The following is a 22,981-nucleotide window of genomic DNA, read 5'->3' on the forward strand; positions in this document are numbered from 1 at the left end:
CTGCCGACAGAGCGAGACTCCATCTCAAATAAATAAATTAATTAATTAAACAGATTAACTCATATTATTCATAAAACAATAATTAGCATTTGCATTTTAACTCCCAAGACTTCAGTACTGAAACAACATTTTATACAAGCCTTAAAGTATCAAATCTTTAACACCAAAACAAGATAAAATACTCTAACATAGTATTTAAAGATTTAAAGAACAAGAATCACCCATTAAAATAGGAGTAGAACAAAAAGTTGCAAGGGACAAAAGAGTTCTTTTTGCTGGAAGTGATGCTTTTGTCATGGTTATTTTGTTTGCCTCTGCAGGAGAGAAATATGAACTTCACGCGGGAACAGAGTCGACACCCAGCGTGGTGGTTCATGTCTGTGAAAGTGAAACTGAAGAGGAAGAAGAGACAAAAAACCCCAAACAGAAAATTGCCCAGACGAGGCGCCCCGACCCTCCGACCGCAGCGTTGAATGAGCCCCAGACCTTTGATTGCGCGCTGTGAGGCCCTTGGTTGTGGTGCGAGGCGGCTGCCCTGGTGGGCTCTGGCCATGGCGCTCTGTGCCTGCGGCCGATGCGTTGCTGCGAACAGCATAGGTGAGACTCTGCCGAGTGAGGTATAGGTCTTCTCACCACGCCTGTACTGCAGACACGGTCGTGTAGAGTAGCAGCTGATTTGACCTGTCCCAGATTTTAAGTGATATTCCAAAAGGGACTTTACATTAAAGGAGAAGCCCCCAAGATGTGGCCACCCTTAACCATTTTTAAATAGTAACAAATTAGGAAAACAGCTCCCCTCCCCTCCAGCCATGTAAGTCCTCCTGATTCTGTATCACATGAGACACCAAAAACTGGAAATGTAGTCACACCCAGTACAGTACCATTTTTATGAATTTAAAAATAGTCTTATAATTTTAATTGTTTGTGGGTATTTTTCTACTGGTATAAATAGCTTCTAATTAATAAATCGATCAAAGGTTGTTACTCAGTATACATGAAATTTTTTGCAGGAAAAGAAACCAGAAATACAGAATAATTCATAGAAATCATGGTTCTCAAGTATTTGTTCAATTAGCTTTGGGGAAGAAATGCCAAATCCACTTTGAGGATGAGTCTTACGACACAGATCCACCCACATGTTGCTCTTATCTGGAATTTGGGACAAAGCAATGCACAGGCCCTCATTCCTGATGTGGCGCCCTCCAGACATGGCTGCCCAGGAAGGACGGCCACTTTAGAAGTGGGACGTATCACCAGTAAGCTTGAATGATTAGGATCGCAGGTGGCTACTGCATTCTGCCGTTCGTGACCGTGTTCTAGCCTGTAGACCACCCAGCTACCTTCATTCACCAGTTTTTATCCTTCACCTTTTCCAGTATCTTGTTAACCACTAGTTCTTGAGTTTTTTGGCTATGATGTGTACGTTTATGTATGTCATTCATGGACTTTCAACTAGAAAAGGTAATGATAAGGTTTTCTGAAGACCATTTGTAAATTGTCCATTTAACCATTTTTCAGCTTGCTTTGAAACAAAAGTCACACCTACTATTTTTCTATGAATTAGGGAATGAGGGGGAGATCATTCAGTTTTACTTTTCTTTTTGTTGAAATTTTGTACCCGGATTGCAGTTGGCACTTTTCCTAAAACAGAATTGTTTCCCACTTAGGTGTCAGAATGTACCTTTGAACTTCCCTAAGAAGCAGCAGGATCTTTTTAACTCTCTCTGGTCTGTTTAGACTTTGAAGTCCCTTCTGTAGAAAAGTCTCATAACTGAGAAGGCTCTGTTTTGGGCCGGGTGGGTCTGCTGGCCTCCACTCACTGTGCTGTTTCCTTTGAGTGGCACACTTGGGAAGCTCCGGGGCATGTGAAGGAGCTGCAAACATGAGAACTAATGAACCAAGGCGGCTGCCACCAGGAAGGAACAGAACGCAGGCATTCAACCATGACGTCTGCACAGTGTTAGTAACATGTCATTGTGGTTTCGTTCTCACTGTGGTAAAATTTATTTCTGAGCACTTAAACTGTGTTGCATACCCCTAATTTTTTTTTTTTCTGTATCTTCCTTGCCCTCAAATACCCTGAGGTGATAAACTGTTCCAGTTGTAGCCAACTACCACTGCTAGGCCTCAATGTAAATTCAGTTGAAATTTGCAATTCTATCAGCAATTTAATGTATTGAATTCAGATCATCATTTGTCATTTTAACCGACAACCACCCAATAAATTTACTCTGCAGTTCTGAACTCAGCATTGTGCCCATTTTTTACTGCAAGATGGACCCTGTATGCCAGGAGACATGTATTATCAACAATTGGGAATTTTTTGAATTTCCTTTTAGGTAATATTGATTCACTGTAATTTTCTAAGTGATCAAAACCCATGAGATTTTGTTATTTGGCTTGGCTTTCATTCTCTGCCTGCCCATTAAAGAATATTCTATTCCTAACACATAAAACATTTTACAGTCAAGCAGTGCAAATTACAGTGCTTTTCTATTTTTTTTTTGAGAGCCTTGAATAAATTGAAGAAAACTTTAAACCAAAATTAGAGACGAGTCATTTAAGCTTTTCTGAATGGAAAGTATTAATATTTTCATTTTTCTAGTATAATATAATAAAATGAATTTTTTTAAAAAAGCTACTAAGTACCCATCAACTTTTTCATATTGTGAAATGAACCAGGATCTTAACAGATACTATCATCGCTGTCCTTTTTTGGCTGTTTAATATCTAGTTCATGTAACAAATTTACAAGAGATAAGTCTCATGGTTTTTTTTTTCTTTTAATAGGCTTTTCTGCAATTTTTTTGAAATTGAGTTATTACTTGGATTTAACCCTGATAGGACCAGGTGTGGTGGCTCACACCATAATCCCAGCACTTTGGGAGGCCAAGGTGGGTGGATCCACCTGAGGTCAGGAGTTCAAGACCAGCCTGACCAACATGGTGAAATCCTGTCTCTACTTAAAAAATACAAAATTAGCCTGGCATGGTGGCACATGCCTGTAATCCCAGCTACTTGGGAGGCTGAGGCAGGAGAATTTCCTGAACCGGGAGACGGAGGTTGCGGTGAGCCGAGATCACGCCATCGCACTCCAGCCTCGGCAACAAGAGCGAAACTCCGTCTCAAAAAAAAAAGATTTAACCCTGATTGATAGTATAGTAGCCATGTTTTCTTTAGAAATCATAACCTCTTCATGGGAATCAAACTATGTTGAAAATTGTGAGGAAAGATAATGGTGCTTTGTGTTGGGAAAAAAACATTTGTGAAGGATTAGAAAACCGTAACACTTAACAAGGATAGTCACAGAACCGACGCTGCATTGGCTCTTAGGTTCTAGATTTTTGTAGCACACTCACCTGATGAAACCAAAGACAAATCCATGTAAAAAGTGTTCCAGTGAGCATCTCTGAGGTTTAAGGTACTAAGAGGCAGAAGTGGATAGCAACAGTTCCATTGCCTTCGAGAACTAAAACTCAGCTGGAAAGCAAATTAGTCTTTTCACATTCTGCTTCTTCAAAATGTTGTACTCAAAAACATACCAGTAATTAAGAGCCAAAGCAAAGCTTCAAGGAACTTTTAAGTTCAACATAAAGGTTTAAATAAAATATTTTTTATTTTTTATTTTTATTTATTTATTTATTTATTTTGAGACAGAGTCTCACTCTGTCGCCCAGGCTGGAGCGCAGCCGCGTGATCTCGGCTCACTGCAAGCTCCGCCTCCCGGGTTCACGCCATTCTCCTGCCTCAGCCTCCCAAGTAGCTGGGACTACAGGCGCCCGCTCCCACGCCCGGCTAATTTTTTTTTTTTTTTTTTTTATAAGTAGAGACGGGGTTTCACCACGTTAGCCAGGATGGTCTCGATCTCCTGACCTAGTGATCCGCCTGCCTTGGCCTCCCAAAGTGCTGGGATTAACCAGGCGTGAGCCACTGCGCCCGGCCTTAAATAAAATATTGTAGTCATTAATGGTGTGTTTGAATTGAAGAGATACCAGGAGATAGAGGTGAAGTGCAGTACTTTTATTCTTTAAGAATATAGTCTTTAGCCAGGTGCAGTGGTGTGTGCCTGTAGTCTCAGCTATTTGAGAGGCTGAGGTGAGAGGATCACTTGAGTTCAGGAGTTCAAGACCAGCCTGGGCAACATAGCAAGTCCCTGGCTCAAAAAAAAAAAAGTTTCCCATTCATATTAACTCCATCTTTTAAAAATGTCATGATTACAAAGTGAAAAGATTTGGCTTTCTTAGAGGCTCAATCACAGAGGTGAAAGTGACCTTGGAAATCATATACTCTATCCCCATGTTACACAGATTAGAAAAACTGAGGTTATGGCACTGACTTAGGCACCCCCAGCAAGGCAACCCAGGGACTACAACTGGCAATCCCAACTCCTGGGCTAGGGCTTTTTCTACCTTTTTTTGCATTGGCCTCTTAAAGAGGCAATGAATACTAATTCCTGGCATCAGAAAAAAAAAAAGGCATGAGGTGGGAGGATTCTTTTTTCCCTGATGGGAAACAGTGAATAAGAAAAATCTCATCATTCGATGGAAGAGGTGACTTAATAATTTTATTAATGAATTTGATGTCCCATGTTTTGTAGTTTTGTTATCATTGAACCATTGGGGCTGGAATCTGCCTAAATAATTTTATCTTGGTAGCCAGCAATTATGTTGGTATTTTATGTGGGCCTTCCCAGATTTTCATATTAATGAAATGACTAATAGTCGTACTTAAGAGGTAACTCTACTAAAGCAGAATGAGATCTAATATGTTGTGGAAATAAAAGAGTTTGCAGTGGAATGATACTCTCACTCCGTGCTTGTAAAATTGAGTTCTATTCAAGACGGAACTGCTATGACTGGCCTATTCAAGGCTTCATATTTTTATACAGACTATTTCACAGACCATAGATTTATTTTAAAAGGGAAAATCTCACACATAATTAAGCAGTGGAAAATGTGCTCAATGCTATGGTGCGTCAGGCCCTCTGTCTACCAGGTTTCTCCCCTTTCTGCAGAGCTGTGGACCCTGTACGTACCAAACAGGTGAACTTGGTCCATCTTTCCTTCTTCCTTTTTTTGCACATTTGCATTTATATCTTCCTGTACTAAAAGAAACAAATTATTTATAATTGGGGTGACAATATAAAGGAACAAAAGATGGGGCAATAGTTGCTTCCTAGCTGGAGCTGTAAGTCCATGTTACAGAAACTCACTATTTAAAAAGTTTTAAAAGATTTATGAACCTTGTCCTACAATTCGCTGAATACTTATTTGTCTTTTAAACTCCCCTCGGTGTATGGATCATCTTCGTCAGAATGCCGTTGTTTCATTGTGAATCAGGGGAAAATGTTAATCATTTGGAGACTGTTTTCTTATTACCAAATGTACAATCCATAAGACAACTGAAAGCAACAACTGCTGGGTTCACTGACAAAGATTATAAAAATCATCACGTTCAAAGTAGAGTTTTTAGCCAAGGTCAAGAACTAACCTGGGGCTGAGTCAGCGTCTCTACCCACTTAAATAACAGCGTAAAGATCTTTCACTAAATTCGTTATGTGGTCTGTCTGGATGTAAACCTATATATTTCCTTTTGAAACAGAATCATATCCTGCAGACTCTTGGCACTCCTGCATAGCTTTGACCGAATGTTCACTCTCATCGTAATGGAAGATTTCTATCTATGCAGATAATACATGTTTTTAAATACTGTTTTCTGTTTAGTCCTCAATCTTCCTAACTCAAATTGGGGACTGAGGAGAGAGAAAGGTGGTTACCCCTGTTACCGTGCCATATTCTTCTTGCTGCTTTTCAACCCCACGTGATTGTTGATTGACGGTTCTGCTATAATGTGCGTGCCCTTCAAGTTTCAGAAAACTTTCCCAATCATTTCACTTCAATCTTAATTGAACCCAAGAGTCAAAGTTATTATTTTCTCCGAACGTGTTTGTGATCTTCTGTTATATTTTGGGGCATGTTACCTTTATGGTATATAAGCTGTAGTGCATACTCTTTGTATTGCAAAAAACTGGTCAGTAATTTATGTACATGTATTCCACATTTTAGTGTGCTTGAAGTGACAATCCATAGTTTGTAGTAGTTTGTTATTTGTCAACTTTACCCTGTGTTTTAAGGACATCTAAACATTCCTTGTCCTATCAAGATGACAAAAGCAGAATGTAATTTTTTTTTGGAAGCTTCGTGATTACCTGTAACAAGTTCTGTTTTTAAAACGAATACAAATAAAGTTAGTAACTATTTTTAAATCAGTCCATTGAGTTGAGTTTTTTTGTGTGTAGTATTTTCAATACGCATCACTTACATTTAGCTAATAAGACAGAGAAGTGCAATATTGTGTTTGTTCCTTTCACAAGAGTCCTGTTGAACATTAATGCCGTGCAGTGCCAGAGTTCAAGGTGGTGAGTCACTGCTCACTCTGTAAATAACCACTGCACTTTCAGCTCTTCCCCAAGAAACCTTTTACCCTGGTTTCCCCTTTGGTTAAAAATGATTTATTCCGGGTAAAGACTTACTTTTTGTCTCGGTTAAAAAAAAAAAATCTCCAAAATGTGGAACTATAAATGACAGTAGAGGTTATCTAGTGCAGTGGGATTTCGAATACTTATTTTTAAGCCATAGGACTCTGCTCTTTGTTCAAATGAAATCTTACACAAAGCCAATGTAAAACTATTACAAAAAGGAAAGGTAAACAAAGCTGCTCCTTTTCAAGGGGCTGGGGGAAGAATGGGGACCTGAGTTCAACCCCTGTGAGAGCTCAGCAGAACAGACCCAGACACACCCCTCTATTGCCCCTGCCTCCCTCCACTTCCTCCTCCATCCCAACCCCACCCCCAACACACCTTTACAAGAAAGTGGCCCCAGAGGCATTGCCAAATGCACACATCTGGATGGTCATGGACCTGGGACTAGAACCCATTTCTTGACATTCTTTCTACCACACTCCACTACTTTGTTACACCAAAATCTAATTTTTCTGGATAAATGTATCTGGATAAAAAGGTTCTTGATATTGTTTTGTTTTTGAGACAAGGTCTTGCTCTGTCGCCTAGGCTGGAGTGCAGTGGCATGAACACAGTTCACTGCAGCCCCAACCTCCCAACTCAGTCTCCGAAGTAGCTAGGATGACAAGTGTGCACCACCACACCCGGCTAATTTTTGTATTTTCTGTGGAGACAGGGTTTCCCTATGTTGCCCAGGCTGGTCTCTAATTCCTGATCTCAGGCGGTCCACTTGCCTTGGCCTCCCAAAGTGCTGAGATTACAGGCATGAGCCACCGAACCTGGCCTTTTTTGTTTTTAAAAAACTAAAGCGGAGTCGCTGAGGACATTTCCACTTTGAAGTTTTTCCAAGCTGTGTTCTGTGGGGCTGCCTCCAGGGGGCGCCATGCTTCCAGGTTCCTGGGGCCTTTCACTCCTGCTTCAACTCTCCTATTATTTGCTATACCTAAAGGTCCTAGCATGTTTTCCACTTGAGCTAAGGATTCCTTGGCTAAAACAGAAAATTGGAAAACCACTGCAAAGAACCTAGGACAAAACACACACACAAACAAATTTTTTTTCTGAGACCAAGTTTCAATCTGTTGCCTAGGCTGGAGTGCAGTGGCGCAATCTCACCTCACTGCAGCCTCTGCCTCCCGGGTTCAAGCAATTCTCCTGCCTCAGCCTCTCGAGTAACTGGGACTGCAGGCGCACGCCATCATGCCTGGCTAATTTTTGTATTTTTAGTAGAAACAAGTTTCACCATGTTGGCCAGGCTGGTCTTGAACTCCTGACCTCAGGTGATCCATCCACCTCAGCCTCCCAAAGTGCTGGGATTACAGGCACGAGCCACTGCACCCGGCCAAAAACAAAATTTTTAATGCAGAGTAGGAAATACAAGAATCAAGATTTAAGTAATTTACCTAATAGACTGGCTTCAAGTTAAACGCATACAATGTATGTATCAGATGTATCAGAGTCCTATTATCACTGAGAAGTATGTTTAAAGGGCAGGAGTGAGCCACCACTATGTTCCTGCCCTCAATGAACACATTAAAATGTTCTAATCTAGAAGAAGAAAAGATTAAAATTCTTGCACACACAGGAAAGATCTCATCTTGCCAAGCTTCCCCGGGTCTTCTGAGACATAGAAAGTATAAATGTAAGCAATTTGTAGATTAGATATTTCAGTAAGGTATTTCAAAGTAAGTTACTTGGGAAAAGTTTGTGGTCCGAAATGTTTGGAAAAGTTAAATGCTGAAAATTAAAAGTTAAAGACCTAAATCTAGAATGTAAAATTACTAATAGAACAAATTGTGGGAGAATATCATTGTGACCTAGAGGCAGGGAGAGACTTCATAAAACTTTAAAAGCATAAGCTATAAGGTAAGAATTCTAATTGGTTACATCAAAATCAATGATTCATGTTCAATGAAGAATGCCATGAAAATGTTCACACAATAGGGAGAAATATTTGCAGTCCTGATGTTACCGGAAAGGGCCCTGATCCAGACCCCTACAGGGCATTTTTAGATCTCATGCAAGAAAGAATTCGGAATGAGTCCACAGAGTAGAGCGAAAGCAAGTTTATTTTATTTATTTTTATTTTTTTGAGACGGAGTTTCACTCTTGTTGCCAAGGCTGGAGTGCAATGGTGTGATCTCGGCTCACTGCAACCTCCGCCTCCCAGGTTCAAGCGATTCTCCTGCTCAGCCCCCCCGAATAGCTAGGATTACAGGCATACACCACCACGCCCGGCTAATTTTGTATTTTTAGTACAGACGGGGTTTCTCCATGTTGGTCAGGCTGGTCTCGCACTCTGGACCTCAGGTGATCCACCCACCTCAGCCTCCCAAAGTGCTGGGATTACAGGCGTGAGCCACCGTGCCTAGCTGAGTAAAAGCAAGTTTATTAAGAAAGTAAAGGAATGGGCCAGGCATGGTGGCTCACGCCTGTAATCCTAGCACTTTGGGAAGCTGAGGCAGGTGGATCATTTGAGATCAGGAGTTCGAGACCAGCCTGGCCAACATGATGAAACTCCGTCTCTACTAAAAATACAAAAATTAGCCAGGCGTGGTGGTGCGCACCTGTAGTCCCAGCTACCTGGGAGGCTGAGACAGGAGAATCGCTTGAACCCAGGAGGCGGAGGTTGCAGTGAGCCGAGATTGTGCCACTGCACTCCAGCCTGGATGACAGAGTGAAACTGTGTCTCAAGTAAAAGAAAAGAAAAGAAAGTAAAGTAAAGGAGTGAAAGAATAGATACTCCATAAACAGAGTAGGGCGTTCCCAAAAGCACAAGGGGGAACGTGCCTGCCTAAGATACAATGCTTGTTTATATATAAGATAAAGCAAAAATCATGGCGGAGATGTGCTCTACTACAAAGGTTTGTGACAAAGGACTGTTAATCTTTGCGTAACTGCTGTCTTCCACAAGCATCTATATTATTATCTTTAAAGCGAAACATATTCTTAAACTAAAAATGCTTTTGTTCTTAAGATATTGGGACATCAGGACATTTCCTGGGTCTATTATTTCCCATTAACATTAACATTATTAACTTGTACCCTTAACTGTAAATATCCTGTGACTAAGTACACCTAACCTCCTAGGAATGCAGTCCAGTAGGTCTCAGCCTCATTTTACTGAGCCCCTATTCAAGATGGAGTCACCCTGGTTTGAACACCTCTGACACTAACACAGGGGAAATAACTATAAAATGCAAAGAGATTCTGCAAATTGACAAGGAAAAGCAGCCCAATAGAAAAATAGGCTACAGGATATGAAAAGTAATTGACAGAAAAGGAAAACAATGAGCCTATGAAGAAATACTAAAACCTAGTAATCAGATAAAGTGCAAATTAAAATGACAAGATGCCATTTATACCTATTGGATTCTCAAAAATGTAAAAGCAATTAATGCCAAGTATAGCCAGAGGGAGGGCATATAGGAAATCTGATATAAAACTGGTGGAAGTATAGACTAGTTTAGTCATTCTGAAGAACAAACTGGCAGTCCTTGGTCATCTAAGTAAGAACAAAACCTCTGACTCTGCAGTTCTGCTCCTGGAGATAGATGAGACAGAGAGAGAGATGTCCCAAGAATATCCCAAAGGGATTCTCACACAGGGCCATAAAGAGCTATGTTGAGGATGTTCATTGCACCATTATTTATGGAGACAAACTGGTATTTGCAACTGGAAAATGAACACTATGGAGAACCATGCAGCAAGAGTAGCCATATACACAGCCACATGGATATATCTTGAAAACAGCTGAGTGCCAAAAGGAGGAAGATGTATCTAACATTTGCATTATGTGAAGTACTGCACAAAGACAGTAATGCACTTTGCAAGAATACATATAAATAAAAAGATACACATTAAACATATATCTCCAAACATAAGAGGCATCTTGCACAGATCAAGGATAATGTGCAAGATAATTGCACACTGATCAAGGATAATTGCAGGATAATTGATTAAGGATAATAAGTCTGATTTACTATGAGACTTTATATCACCTTTTGATAGACTTTAAAGGGTTAACAGATTCTTTTTTACTTTACTACATTATGTAGATGAAAATTCTTTATTAAATGTACTCCCATATGGATGGAAAAAAATATACTGTATCATTCATTCTTCTCTGAGCTACAAATGAAGAGCGTTGCATGTGGTTTGACTCTAGATTCACCATTTCCTTTTGGTTCAAAGAAGTAATCAGGTTAATTCGCGGCCTGGTGCTATCTTTCTTAAATATCTTTTGAATAATTGAGATCTTTGATGGGAAATTATACAGTATTCTGTCCTGAGAGATTTGACCAGGCTCCTTCCCCCAAAGGAGGAAATTAAACCAAAAATGATTTCTCAGAAATTGCCTGAGTAAGCCCTGTGAATGAAAGGTCTTTTATGGACTAAATGGACTAGCCTCCTCTGACTTATTTCCTTGATAACTTCAGTTACTTGGCAGGCTATTTATTCTATCCCATTAGATATTTCTAACAACTGTTGGAAAGTCTAGAATGGAGATTTGTCTCCTTTGCAAATGAGAAGCAGCCCTTGGGCATCCTGCTAATCCTAGATACTGTATACTAATGACTTCTATTGTGAAAGGGCACAGAGCTACCCTCCTGCTTAGTTCCTGTCTCTAGATGTGTCCAATTATATGAATTGAACACTTTAAGGTGTGTTTTCCCGGAGAGAAGTTAACTAGTTGTTCATGCTAGAGAAAAAGGAGACAGTTAAACTGCAGGTTTAATAAAAATCCATTAAGGGGTGTATTACTTATCTATTGCTGCACAACACATTATCCCAAAATTTAGCAGCCTAAAACAAGAAAACATTATCTCACAGTTTCTGAGGATCAGGAATCTGGGAGTGGCTAAGCTGGACAGTGGTGGCTCAGGGTCTCTCAGAGGTTGCCATCAAGTCATCAGCAAGGCTGTGATAAGGACAGGAGGCAGAGAAATTCTAGGCTGAAAAGGACAGGGACCCTGGCAAAGCTCCACCCTCAAGCCTGGAAACATGGCCCAAACTTAGAAAATCCCTGTATTCCCATTCAAATGTTGCCCTTTCCAAAACCACCCCTGGCCCACCCAATCCCCATCCTGTACCCATAAAAACCCCAGGCTCCACTGGCAGAGAGCAGAGAAGGGGAGAAGAGAAGAAGCAGCCGGATGTCAGAGAGAAGCAGCTTGACTTCAGAGGGACGGCTTGACAGTGGGACTTTGGAGAAAAGTCCGATTGGAGATGGCCAGACTTCAGGGGAAGACCACCTCCCCGCTCCATCCCCTTTCCAGCTTTCCTTCCATCTGAGAGCCGCTTCTGGCAGCAATAAAATCCCCCGCATTTACTATCCTTCAATTTGTTCATGTGACCTGATTTTTTTCTGGATCCAGACAAGAGCCTGGGATACGGAAGGCTGTCACACTGACCCTCTGCCCTCGCTGGTGGAAAGCAACCACCTCACGTGAAAAGGTGGAGAGAGGGCCCACTGAGCTGTTTAACACTTAAGCCGTCTGTGAACGGCAGAAGCTAAAAGAGTGTTCACTGTAGGCCGGGTGCGGTGGCTCACGCCTGTAATCCCAGCACTTTGGGAGGCTGAGGCAGGCAGATCACGAGGTCAAGAGATCGAGACCATCCTGGCCAACATGGTGAAACCCCGTCTCTACTAAAAATATAAAAATTAGCCGGGCGTGGTGGCGTGCGCTTGTAATCCCAGCTACTCAGGAGGCTGAGGTAGGAGAATCGCTTGAACCCAGGAGGCAGAGGTTGCAGTGAGCAGAGATCACACCACTGCACTCCAGCCTGGTGAGAGAGCGAGACTTTGTCTCAAAATAAATAAATAAATAAATAAATAAATAAATAAATAATTTTTAAAAAGAGTGTTCACTGTAACACTCCTCCAGTCTCTTGGGGGGGGGGGTCACAGGTACTCCCCTCTAGATGCTGCCATGGGAGTTTTGCTCCTACCAGTGCCCAAAAGCACTTGCCCCAGCTCCTGCACCTGTTCACCTGTGCTCCCCATCCCACGAGGGGTTGAGAGCTGTGGGATAAGTAAGTGAGGCACCCCTGTCGCAAGGCTCACAAAGAGGTCAAGGGGAATTTCCTGTTTCAGCTGGACAGTCTGCTTCCCTGCTCACTCACATGGCTGTTGGCAGGAGGCTTCAGTTCCTCGCCACAGGGGCCTCTCCAGAAGCCTGCTCACAGGACATGGATGCTGGCTTCCCCCGAGCGAGTGATCAGAGAGAGAGAAAGAGAGAGAGCCCAAGATGAAGTCTTTTTATAACCTAATCTCAGAAATGACAGACCATCACTTCTGCCATATGGTATTGGTCATAGACCAGCCTGGTACAATGTAGTAGGAGAAAAAGGGGGCTAAAGTAGAGAGGAAAATGTATAGCTCTAAATGCTTCTGTTAAGAGCTTAGAAGGGCATAGGGTAAGGACTCTTTCTTCATCTCTCAGCTGTCTTTGTCTCTACCTCTCTTTGTGTGTCCACCAAATTCCTTCTTACTGCAAAAAGGATGTCCGCTCGCAGCAGAGAACATGGTAACCAACAACTCAGGTGGAAGGAGAGCTTCTTTCTATGATTCCATATTGCAGTGGGATTCTCATTGGCCAGATTGGGTTGCCTGCCCATCCCTGAGGCCAGATGGGCAAGGCTTTTACCCAAGAAAGGGAAATGAAAGCAGGGCAAACAAAAATAAAATAGCTATCACAGTGAACTTCAATCACAGTAAACTTCAATATCTCAAGAAACTTTATAAAGACCAAAAGGGGAGAGTATTTTATTCATTGGTGAATTAGTCCGAGTTTAGAGACCTAATAAGTAAGCACTGATTTTTATCTGGTCTTCATTTTTTTCACCACTCAATTCTGACTCCAGGCAAGATACGAGAAGTAGATTTTAAGCATGTTTGATAAATGTACCCAAAGTAAGTTCTGGTATAGAGAGTTTCAGACAGAGAGTTTTTATGATATTTACCACAGAGCTTCCTTATGATCTTGATGTTGAATGTGAAACAACACAATTATCCCAGTCTTCCACGTCATAAGAAGAGACATATCATACATGCCAGTATACATAAAGAACAGTATTTTATCATTACTCTAAATTTTTAATAGGGTTAGCCACTTATATTTTGGTTTTGTGCCATTTCCCTATTTAAGCACCTAAAGATCCAAGAAAGGAAATAATTTCATAACATGTTTTTATTTAGATTTTCTGACTTTATAAATAAACGATGCCGGGTGCAGTGGCTCACATCTGTAATCCCTGCACTTTGGGAGGAGGCTGAGGCAGGCAAATCACCTGAGGTTAGGAGTTCGAGACCAGCCTGGCCAACATGTTGAAACCCCTTCTCTACTAAAAATACAAAAACTAGCTGGGCATGGTGGCAGCCACTTGTAATCCCAGCTACTCGGGAGGTTGAGGCATGAGAATTGCTGGAACCCAGGAGGTGGAGGTTGCAGTGAGCTGAGATCGTGCTATTGCACTCCAGCCTGGATGACAGAGCAAGACTCTGTCTCAAAAAAAAAAAAAAAAAAAAAATCACTGGAAGGAATTCTGTGTTTAAAAATGTAGTTTTCACATAGTTTAGGAAGTAGAAAACGTACAGGGGAAATTTCACAGTGGATGGTAAAACACATGGAAGAATGAGGAACCTGGCATGATGGGGAGGAGAGAGGTCCGGTAAGGGAACGAACACATAAGAAAAAAGCAGAGAACGCAGCCTCTGTGTCTCTCGCAGAGCCCAGCTCAGTGCCTTGCCCACTTAAGCTCTCAGGAAGTGTTCACTCAAATGAACTCACGCATGTGTCTAACTGAGCGAACACCTGTATATCCCAGAAAAAGTAACTTCCAGTCCCCATAGAATAAGTTTAATAAAACTCAATCCTACAGCTCAGGAAGAACTTTCTAAAAGCAGGACAGTGGTTTTCCAAATGCCAGATATTTTTTCAGAAATTGTGTTTTGTTTTTTGTAATTGTGATCATTTGATTATTTGTTAGACAAACCTGATCACAGTGGTTTTTTTGTTTGTTTGTTTTTGAGACAGGGTCTCGCTCTATCACCCAGGCTGGAGTGCAGTGATGCAATCTCGGCTCACTGCAACCTTTGTCTCCCGGGTCCAAGCGATTCTCATGCTTCAGCCTCCCAAGTAGCTGGGATTACAGGCATATGTCACTATGCCCAGCTAATCTTTGTATTTTTAGTAGAGATGGGGTTTCACCATGTTGGCCAGCCTGCTCTCAAACTCCTGACCTCAAGTGATCCACCCACTCAGCTTCCAAAAGTGCTAGGATTACAGGCGTGAGCCACTGCACCTGGTCATGTGATCAGAGATTTTTAATTGCCAGAGATGGCCCATTGGCTCCTTTTGGCTTTTTGCTTTCTTTCTTTTTATTTATCTTAAACCAGCCTCAAAGCCCCCACTGTTCTCCTGAAAGGAACTGAGGTGAGGAATCTACCTCCTAAGGCAAATGACCAGAGCAGAGGACAGGATAGACTGGGTTTCCATCACGTTGACATATTATTATCTTTCATAACTGGGATCCTTTTGGATCATTAACAGTAGCCATGAGGTAGAAGGTGGGACTAGACTCTGGAGGGGGACTTGGATGCTGAATCAAACTGAGGAGTAGTTAAAATAAGGACAGGGCAGAAGCAGCTTTCCATGAGATGCACCCACCAGTGTTCCATGTCAGCTAACCCAACATCCAGGAGTTACCTCCCCTTTCCATGGCAATGACCCAAAAACCCAGAAGTTACTACTCTTTTCCTAGAAATTTCTTCATAAACCATCCCTTAATCTGTATGCAATTAAAAGTAAGTATAAATGGCCAGGCGCAGTGGCTCACGCCTCTAATCCCAGCACTTTGGGTGCCAGCCCTTGAGCAAGTCATTCCCTCTCTATGATCTTGGGCTCCTCAGTGGCTCCCAACCCTGGTCACACATTAGCATCACCTGGGCACCTCATAAAAACCCATGACTGGTCTGGCCTCACTGCAGAGCCTCTAGCTCTATGGCTGTAAAGTGCAACCTTAGCAGAGTTTTCCAAAGTCCCCAAGGGATTCTGAGGGACCACCAGGACTGAGACACCCAGGGCTGGGGGATGTCCGAGTTCACCCAAACTTGGTTTCTCACTCCCTGGATTACCCCATTTCCTGGGCCTTTAGAATTACTGTAAATGCTTTCATTTAACACAATGTCCATCTATAATACTATAATTAATCTTGATATTTGCACAAGGGTGTATGCAAATATCAAGAGTAATTACTCTTTGTGCGTGTGCATGTGCGTGTTGTTGTTGTTGTTTTTGAGACAGAGTCTCGCTCTGTCGCCCATGCTGGAGTGCAGTGTTGTAATCTCCGCTCACTGCAGCCTCCACCTCCCAAGTTCAAGCGATTCTCCTGCCTCAGCCTCCTGAGTAGCTGGGATGACAGGCACCCGCCACCATGCCTGTCTAATTTTTGTATTTTTAGTAGAGACGGGGTTTCACTATGTTGCCTAGGCTGATCTCAGACTCCTGGGTTCAAGTGATCCGCCAGCCTCGACCTCCCTAAGTGCTGGGATTACAGGCGTGAGCCATCATGCCTGGCCTACTCTTTGAAAGTAAGGTTATAAACTCATTCATGCTCCACGCCTTTTGGGGTAGGCAGATATCACTATCCCAGCTTCCCTTTATTTTTCTCCAAAGCACTTATTACTTTCCAACATGCCATATCATTGGCTTGTTTATTTATTTATTTGAGACAGGGTCTCACTCTGTCACGCAGGCTGGAGGGCAGTGGCACAATCACAGGTCACTGCAGCCTCAAACTCCCAGGCTCAAGTGATCCTCCCACCTCAGCCTCCTGAGTAGCCAGGACTACAGGCGTGTGTCACTACGTCAGTCTAATTTTTGTATGTTTTGTAGAGGCAGGGTCTCTCCATGTTGCCCAGTCTGGTCTTGAACTCCTGGACTTGAGTGACCCACCCTCCTCAGCCTCCCGAAGTGCTAGGATTACAGGTATGAGCCACGGCACCCAGCCTGGCTTCTTCATTTTTGTTGTTTTTCTCCCATCAGAATGCATGCTTCATCAGAGCAGGAATTGTCATCTCTTTTATTCATCACTGGCACACAGCAGGCTATTGGTAAATATTCACTGAATGAATGAATTATAGAAGAGGAAACTCATGTCCAGAGAGGTTAGGAGACCTGCCTGAAGTCACACAGCAAGTAAACGGAGTAGCCATTAGATTGCGTCTTCTCTCGGTGTGTGTTTTTTCTGCTCTCACTCTGGGATTCCTAGGGTGACTGTGATAGTAGGATAGACCAAGGAGGTACCAGGGGAGGAGGACTCAGCAGCTGAGATAGCTGCGAATGGGCTGACTGCCACCAGGAGAGCACAGGTTCCTTGCCAAGGTGAGGAGGCGTGGCTTCCGCTGATGGCAGAAGGACTTAAATTAATTTACAGCTTCCTATTTTCATTCTGAGAAGTTTTTCCCTTGTAATTACCAACAAATGGTTTGCGCTAACGCACATTCCTAAAAATGTAGCATAAAAAATGAGGAAGCTGTCAGGTAATGACCTGGGCTGGCTGTTTAAAGGCACACTCACGATTATCAGACTTACCGTGGAACTGGATGAGGCCTCAGAGACAAGGCCGTCCAACCCGTCATTTCACAGATGAGAAAACAGAGGCCCGGGGAGATCAGGTGGCTCGCAAGGAGATTAGACCCCTGACCCTGCCCCCGTCATTCTCTTGTCTTCTCATCCTCCATCGCCAGATGCTCCTAGAGGTAAGATGGGAATTAGACCACATGCAGGACAGCAGCGCTTGGGAAGGGGCTCTGGTCCTCCCCTGCACTTCACGTCCGCCCAGCACATGTCCATCTGGGATCAGCCACATGACACACTGCACTACGAGCCCTGTAGGTCATTTAGAACCTTGGCCTGTGTCTTGCGGCCTTTGCTGCTCCCTCTACTCTCTGCCTACTTAGTTGAAAAACAGGGAATTGTTTCAAAATCAATTGGCCTAGGTATGTTTGCCTCCTCTCCCTCTCTCTCTCCCTCTCTCTCTCTGTACTAGATTAAACAATGTGGACTTGGGTTTCTCTGGACTCATGATTCTCTGTGCTTCGTCTCCTCCCCTGAAATTGCATTCTAATCCCACATGACATTTGGCTGGTTTCCCCAGCAACCATCTCAAAAGCCATAAACAGCAGATTAAGGCTTTGAGGGGAGACATGAAAGACTGGACATGCCTGGCCAGGAGATGAAAACACAGCCGCTCAAAGGCTAGTTTGTAGTTACATCTTCTGCTAATAAGAAAAGGAAGGATAACTGGTTGTCTCTGGGTATTTTCCACGTGGAAGCAGCCGCTTTTTGTTATTTTAAAATCCCCCAGCACCTCAGACTCCATAGGGTAACATCCGAAACTGGAGTGGTTTGTTGGGTAATTTTTTCTTTTTTTTGACATAGAGTCTCGCTCTGTCACCCAGGCTGGAGTGCAGCGACGTGATCTCGGCTCACTGCAACCTCTGCCTCCTGGGTTCAAGTGATTCTTCTGCCTCAGCCTCCCGAGTAGCTGGGATCACAGATGTGCGCCACCACGCCCAGCTATTTTTTTTTTTTTTTTTTTGTATTTTTAGTAGAGACAGGGTTTTGCCATGTTGGTCAGGCTGGTCTCGAACTCCTGACCTCAGGTGATCCTCTCACCTTGGCCTCCCAAAGTGCTGGGATGTTGGGTAATTGTATAAGCAATTTTCATTGACTAATAAAACTGATTTATATATAAACATCCTCTTTATTTTAAAAATGAAAAATCACCACACTTTTTTTTTATTCCATTAAATTGCTTTCAAAATCTTTTTTTTTCCCTTTCTCCTTTTTTTTTTTTTCTTTTTTTGGAGAAAGGGTCTAGCTCTGTCACTCAGGCTGGAGTGCAGTGATGCGATCTCAGCTCACTGCAGTCTCTACCTCCCAGGCCCAAGTGACCCTCCTACCTCAGCCTCCCAAGCAGCTGGGACTATAGCCATGCACCACCATGGCCGGCTAATTTTTAAAATTTGTTTTGTAGAGATGGGACCTTGCCATGTTGCCCAGGTTAGTCTTGAACTCCTGGACTCAAGTGATTCTCCTGCCTCAGCCTCCCAAAGTTCTGGGATTACAGGCGTGTGCCACCGCCCCCAGCCTGTTGCTTTCCTTAATTGCAACGGGAAACCCTCCATGGTTTTCCCTAGTCCTTGGAATAAAATCCTTACTCTGACCTGTAAGACCTTGCATCTGATCTCTGCCTGCCTCTGACCTCATTCTGTCCACTCTCCCTGAAACCACCCCTGGCTTTGGTTGCTATACTGGCCTTAGGATCTTTGCACAAACCAACCTGCTGCTTCCCCCACCCTATCCCACCCTGCTCCCTTCTAGAGTGCTCCCCGGCCCCAGCTCCAGCCCCTCCTCACCTGCCTGCTTGTCCTTTGGGTCTCAGCTCCCCTGTCCTCCCCTGGCAGATAGGTTTCTGTGGGAGCCCCTGCCCTCCCACCCATAATAATCAATGACACCATATTATTATTTCCTTTAGAACTTTTCAGATGGTCTCACTATTTTGTTACCATCTTTTGTGCTTGGGTCATCTGTCCCTTCAACCCCAGCCCCACTGGAAGGTGAGGTCTACAGGGCAGGGAGGGGCCACCACTGACTCTGCCCCACCTTGCAAAGTGCCTGGCCTATAGTGAACACTCTGTAGCACTTAATGAGTGAATATGCAGCGCGATGAAGAGCCTTTTCATGCTTCTGCCTCCTGGGCTTGGCTGGTGTCTCTGACCCTGGTTATGGGAGGGCTGGTGCAAGGAAGAGCTCCCTTCCCAAACCCCTTACTGTCGGTGTGCACAAACTCATTCTGACAGGGCAGGTGTCCTGTGGCTTAGCCAGCCTGGATTAAGGGACAAAGCAGAAGGTGGGCTTGAGCCATAGATAACAGAAGGCTGAAGACTACCAAACCCCACAGAGAAGGACCTAAGACATCAAAGTCCCCCTTCCCAGCTCCTGCCACTTGGCATAATCATTCTCCCACTTACCTGGCACTTCACAAGTGTGATCTCATTTCTAATCCTCACCGCAACTATACTGAAGTATCTTCTCTTCATTTTACAGAAAGAAACAGTCTCAGAAACTACTCCCATCTTGCGAATAGTAAGCAGTGGAGCCAGGATTTGAACCTGAGACCATGCACTGGGGGCTCTTGCCCCCACAAACAAACCTGGAAAAACTTCCAGAAGCATCCTGAAGTGGCCCCCCCCAGTGCCATTTACTGTGGAACTCAGGCCTCAGGGCCAGAGCAGGCTCCCACTGGACTCCTCTCCCCACATTGTGGCCTCTCCCTGTAACCAGGTCTGCCTCCCCCACAACAGGGAAGCTCTTGAAGCCATGGATTAGCACCATGCTCCTTAAAGACCATACTCAAGTGTCTCAAGTCTTTGATGAGAAAGTAGAATTACAGGATTATACTCTCAATCAATATTTGTTAATACCACCTTGCAGCTGGGCATGGTGGCTCATGCCTGTAATTCCAGTACTTTGGGAGGCCAAGGTGGGAGGATCGCTAGAGCCCAGGAGTTAGAGGCTGCAGTGAGCCGAAATCCCGCCACTGCACTCCAGCTGGGGCAGGAGAGCAAGACCCAGTCTCCATAAAATAAAATGGGTTGGGAGCAGTGGCTCATCCAGCACTTTGAGAGGCCAAGGCTGGTGGATCACTTGAGGTCAAGAGTTGAAGACCATCCTGGCCAACATGGTGAAACCCTGTCCCTACCAAAATATATATATACATACACACACAAAAAAATTAGCCGGGTGTGGTGGCATGTGCCTGTAATCCCAGCTACTCGGGAGGCTAAGCCAAGAGAATCGCTTGAACCAGGAGGCAGAGGTTGCAGTAAGCCGAGATTGTGCCACCACACTCCAGCCTGGGCTGCAGAGTGAGATCCTGTCTCAAAGATAAATAAATAAATAAATACTACCTTGGAGTTTCCTATAAAAATACGTGTTTTCTTCCTATAAAAATCTTAGTTCTTAGCTGAGGAGAGTTTGAAAGCATCTCACAGGCACTGAGCGGCAAGGCAGTCGGCCCAGATGCAATCACTTTCTGGAAATCAATTGAAAATAGAACCGGGAAACCAGCCTCCACTCCTGATACTGTTACTAACCTGCTATAAGACTTTGTGCTCACCTTTGCTTCCTGGGCCTCAGCTTCCCTGTTTCTGAGAGAAGAGATCCCCTCTCCGAGATCTCTTCCCGCTTTCTATAAATATTGATTGAGTACCCGCTGCCTGCCAGGGATATCGCCCTGGGCTCCTGGGATACAGCTGGAATCTCGACAGCCTGGGGAGGAAGGAGCCTTTGATCCTACAGCGGCAAGAGTTCTTGACACTTGCCGGCTGCCAAGCCTGTTTCCTCCCGGTCTAACGTTCTGTGGTTGTCTGAATCTCCAGCTGCCCCTCAAAACCTTCAATCAGATTAGCGCCGTGCTCCTTTAAAGACCCTACTCAAAGTGCCTGGAGCTCACCTGGGTGTGTTTGTGAGGCCCTTTCCCTCTCTTTACCCCGCGGAGGAGTCCGACCTGGAAGCCTCCTGCTGGACTTCTCTACTGGACTGAGTGCCCGGGAGTGCCAGAGCCAGTCCCAAAAAGGACCCAGGAGCGGGGACACCACGGGGAGGCGCCGCCACTCCAGTGTGCGGGACCCTGGCACCCCCGGCGCGTTCTCCGGCCTCCCCAGGATCACCTGCACGGGGCGGGGCCGGGGGCGGGACGCCCCGGGCGGGGGCGGGATCCCAGGGTGGCAGCGCCGGGCGGCGGCGGGGACCCTGGCTGGGAGCGCGGCGGTGCCGGCGGGAGGCCGAGCGGGGCTCGACAGAGCAGGTAGGAGGCGCCTGGTCGCCGGGGTTGCCCGGGGCTGCGGGGAGCGAGGAGCGGTCCGGCCCAGGTGCGGTGGCTTCCTGTCCACCTGCCGGCCGCGCTGGGCGAAGGAGGGCCCGGGGGTGGGGACGAGGGGTCCCCAGTCTCACCCCCACATCTGTTGGAGGAAGTGCCTGGGGTCTGCGCGGGAGGGCGTTGGTCCGGGGTGGTGGGAGGGAGGCTGATCATCTCCAGTGGGTCTTGGAGACGAGGTCGTTTCCTTGTCCCCTCCCCACCCAAGCATCTGGCGGAGGGGCCGAGGCTCGCTGGAAGAAAAGGGAGTCGACCTTGACCCGGCCTGGAGATAAAGGAACTTTTACCCACTTGGGGCCTTATCCGCCCCATCTGTTAAATGGGCGCCTTGATGGGTCTGCCCTATGCAGAGGCCCCTCCGGAAGATCTGCGATTCAGCGAGATGAAAACCCACGGCAGAGAAGGAGCCCAGGGCCGTAGTTTCCATCCACAGCACGTTTGGAGGGGCTCGGGGGTCGCTCATCCAGCAGCGCTCCTGAGGAAGGATGCAGAGACGGCTCCAGTCCTCTGGGTATCCTTGTGGGAGGAGATGGCTGTGTCAAATATGAAGGCTGGATTAGAGAGACCAAGGCAGCCCTTGAGTCTGGGAGAAGATTCTGGAAGGCCCCTTGGAGGAGGTGGCATCTGAGTGGGGCAGGGAAAGGAAAGGTGGTGGTTAGGGCAGCGCTTTGGAGTCCCTGCTTTACCCCTCAGCCAAGGCCGTCCAACAGTCTCGGGCAAGTCCACACTTTTCTCTATGTTTCAGTTTGATGTGCTCCTTAAATGAAACAATTTCTCTGACAGATTAAATCAGATAACTCATAAAGTGTTTAATACAGGGTGGGTATATAGTAGGCACTCAATGAACATGAGCTATTAATGTCTGCTAGCAGCTGCTTGGGGGCAGGGATGATGCCTATTTGGTTCACCCTTGTATCCCCAGCACCAGCACGGTGCCCAGCATGCAGTAGGTCTCAATACATATTTGTCCAATGAATGAATGAATGCATATGAAGTACAATGCTTGGCACAAATAGTGAATTTACAGATGGCTGGTTCTAAGAGGTGGGTATGGATACTAGAGACAGTGGTCTAGGTGGATGGAACAGTTATAAGCAGAAGCCAAGAGCAACAGATTATAGGCACCCCCTCTTATGGTGCATGTGTGTATGTGTGCATGTGTGTGTGTGTGCGCTTGTGTGCATGTGTGTGCATGTGGGTGTGTGCACGTGTGTGCGTGTGTGTGCGTGTGTGTGTTGGTGGTGGTAGTAGAAAGTGACAGGCACAGCCAGAGCACCGGGATAGAAGAGGGCACATAATACCCTGGAATCCTGAGTCCCATCAGCCCGTGGGAGTGGATGATGGGGCAGGAACTCTAGGTAGGCCAATACCTTTACTCATGTCCTCTAAGTGGGGAGAGGGGACAGAAGGGCAGCCAAGAGACACCAAAGGACCATGAATGCCTGGTGGGAGGGGAGGAGGAAATGGGAAGGGGGTTCCCATGACCCCTTCATGGCCTGTGGCTTTCTTCACCTT

General features: G+C 44.9%; 2 protein-coding genes and 1 long non-coding RNA gene across 12 annotated transcripts in view, besides 6 other annotated features; 2 read left to right on the forward strand and 1 right to left on the reverse strand.

Annotated features, from left to right (window-relative positions):
• Window positions 1-6,268, forward strand: part of RCAN3 (RCAN family member 3) — a 38,697-nt gene extending 32,429 nt beyond the window's left edge. For 6 of the 10 annotated variants that reach the window (NM_001251979.2, NM_001251984.2, NM_013441.4 and 3 more), the window contains one exon: window positions 321-6,268. In NM_001251979.2, the coding sequence (NP_001238908.1) occupies window positions 321-505 (185 nt within the window). In that variant the 3' untranslated portion in view covers window positions 506-6,268. The remainder of the gene's footprint in view (window positions 1-320) is intronic. The other 4 variants (NM_001251978.1, NM_001251980.1, NM_001251982.1 and 1 more) reach the window with 1 other exon arrangement.
• Window positions 525-584: an enhancer, noted in NCBI's record as "active region_403". NCBI's record gives its function as "activates an Ori minimal core promoter by ATAC-STARR-seq in GM12878 lymphoblastoid cells {active_cell/tissue: GM12878}" and the evidence as "EXISTENCE:reporter gene assay evidence [ECO:0000049][PMID:35858748]".
• Window positions 525-1,210: a biological region, named in NCBI's record as "H3K4me1 hESC enhancer GRCh37_chr1:24861821-24862472".
• Window positions 559-1,210: an enhancer, noted in NCBI's record as "H3K4me1 hESC enhancer chr1:24861821-24862472 (GRCh37/hg19 assembly coordinates)". NCBI's record gives its function as "activates a minimal SCP1, AML or CMV promoter by ChIP-STARR-seq in naive H9 embryonic stem cells {active_cell/tissue: H9 hESC(naive)}" and the evidence as "EXISTENCE:reporter gene assay evidence [ECO:0000049][PMID:30033119]".
• Window positions 1,211-1,860: an enhancer, noted in NCBI's record as "H3K4me1 hESC enhancer chr1:24862473-24863122 (GRCh37/hg19 assembly coordinates)". NCBI's record gives its function as "activates a minimal SCP1, AML or CMV promoter by ChIP-STARR-seq in naive H9 embryonic stem cells {active_cell/tissue: H9 hESC(naive)}" and the evidence as "EXISTENCE:reporter gene assay evidence [ECO:0000049][PMID:30033119]".
• Window positions 1,687-1,776: an enhancer, noted in NCBI's record as "active region_404". NCBI's record gives its function as "activates an Ori minimal core promoter by ATAC-STARR-seq in GM12878 lymphoblastoid cells {active_cell/tissue: GM12878}" and the evidence as "EXISTENCE:reporter gene assay evidence [ECO:0000049][PMID:35858748]".
• On the reverse strand, window positions 4,502-21,252 carry NCMAP-DT (NCMAP divergent transcript). The gene is made up of 3 exons (NR_109781.1): window positions 21,044-21,252; window positions 17,116-17,276; window positions 4,502-5,104 (listed from the first exon to the last, which is right to left on the reverse strand). It is a non-coding gene; the product is annotated as an NCMAP divergent transcript (long non-coding RNA).
• Window positions 6,287-6,581: an enhancer, noted in NCBI's record as "tiled region #2491; HepG2 Activating DNase matched - State 5:Enh". NCBI's record gives its function as "activates a minimal TATA promoter and a strong SV40 promoter by Sharpr-MPRA in HepG2 cells {active_cell/tissue: HepG2}" and the evidence as "EXISTENCE:reporter gene assay evidence [ECO:0000049][PMID:27701403]".
• Window positions 21,253-21,314: 62 nt separating the features above from the next.
• NCMAP (non-compact myelin associated protein) overlaps window positions 21,315-22,981 on the forward strand; it is a 53,242-nt gene continuing 51,575 nt past the window's right edge. The window contains exon 1 of the mRNA NM_001010980.5: window positions 21,315-21,397. The gene's annotated coding sequence lies outside the window, so the exon portion shown is untranslated. The remainder of the gene's footprint in view (window positions 21,398-22,981) is intronic.

The sequence above is a fragment of the Homo sapiens genome, chromosome 1 (genome assembly GCF_000001405.40).
Source record: "Homo sapiens chromosome 1, GRCh38.p14 Primary Assembly".
Taxonomy (NCBI): Eukaryota; Metazoa; Chordata; class Mammalia; order Primates; family Hominidae; genus Homo; species Homo sapiens.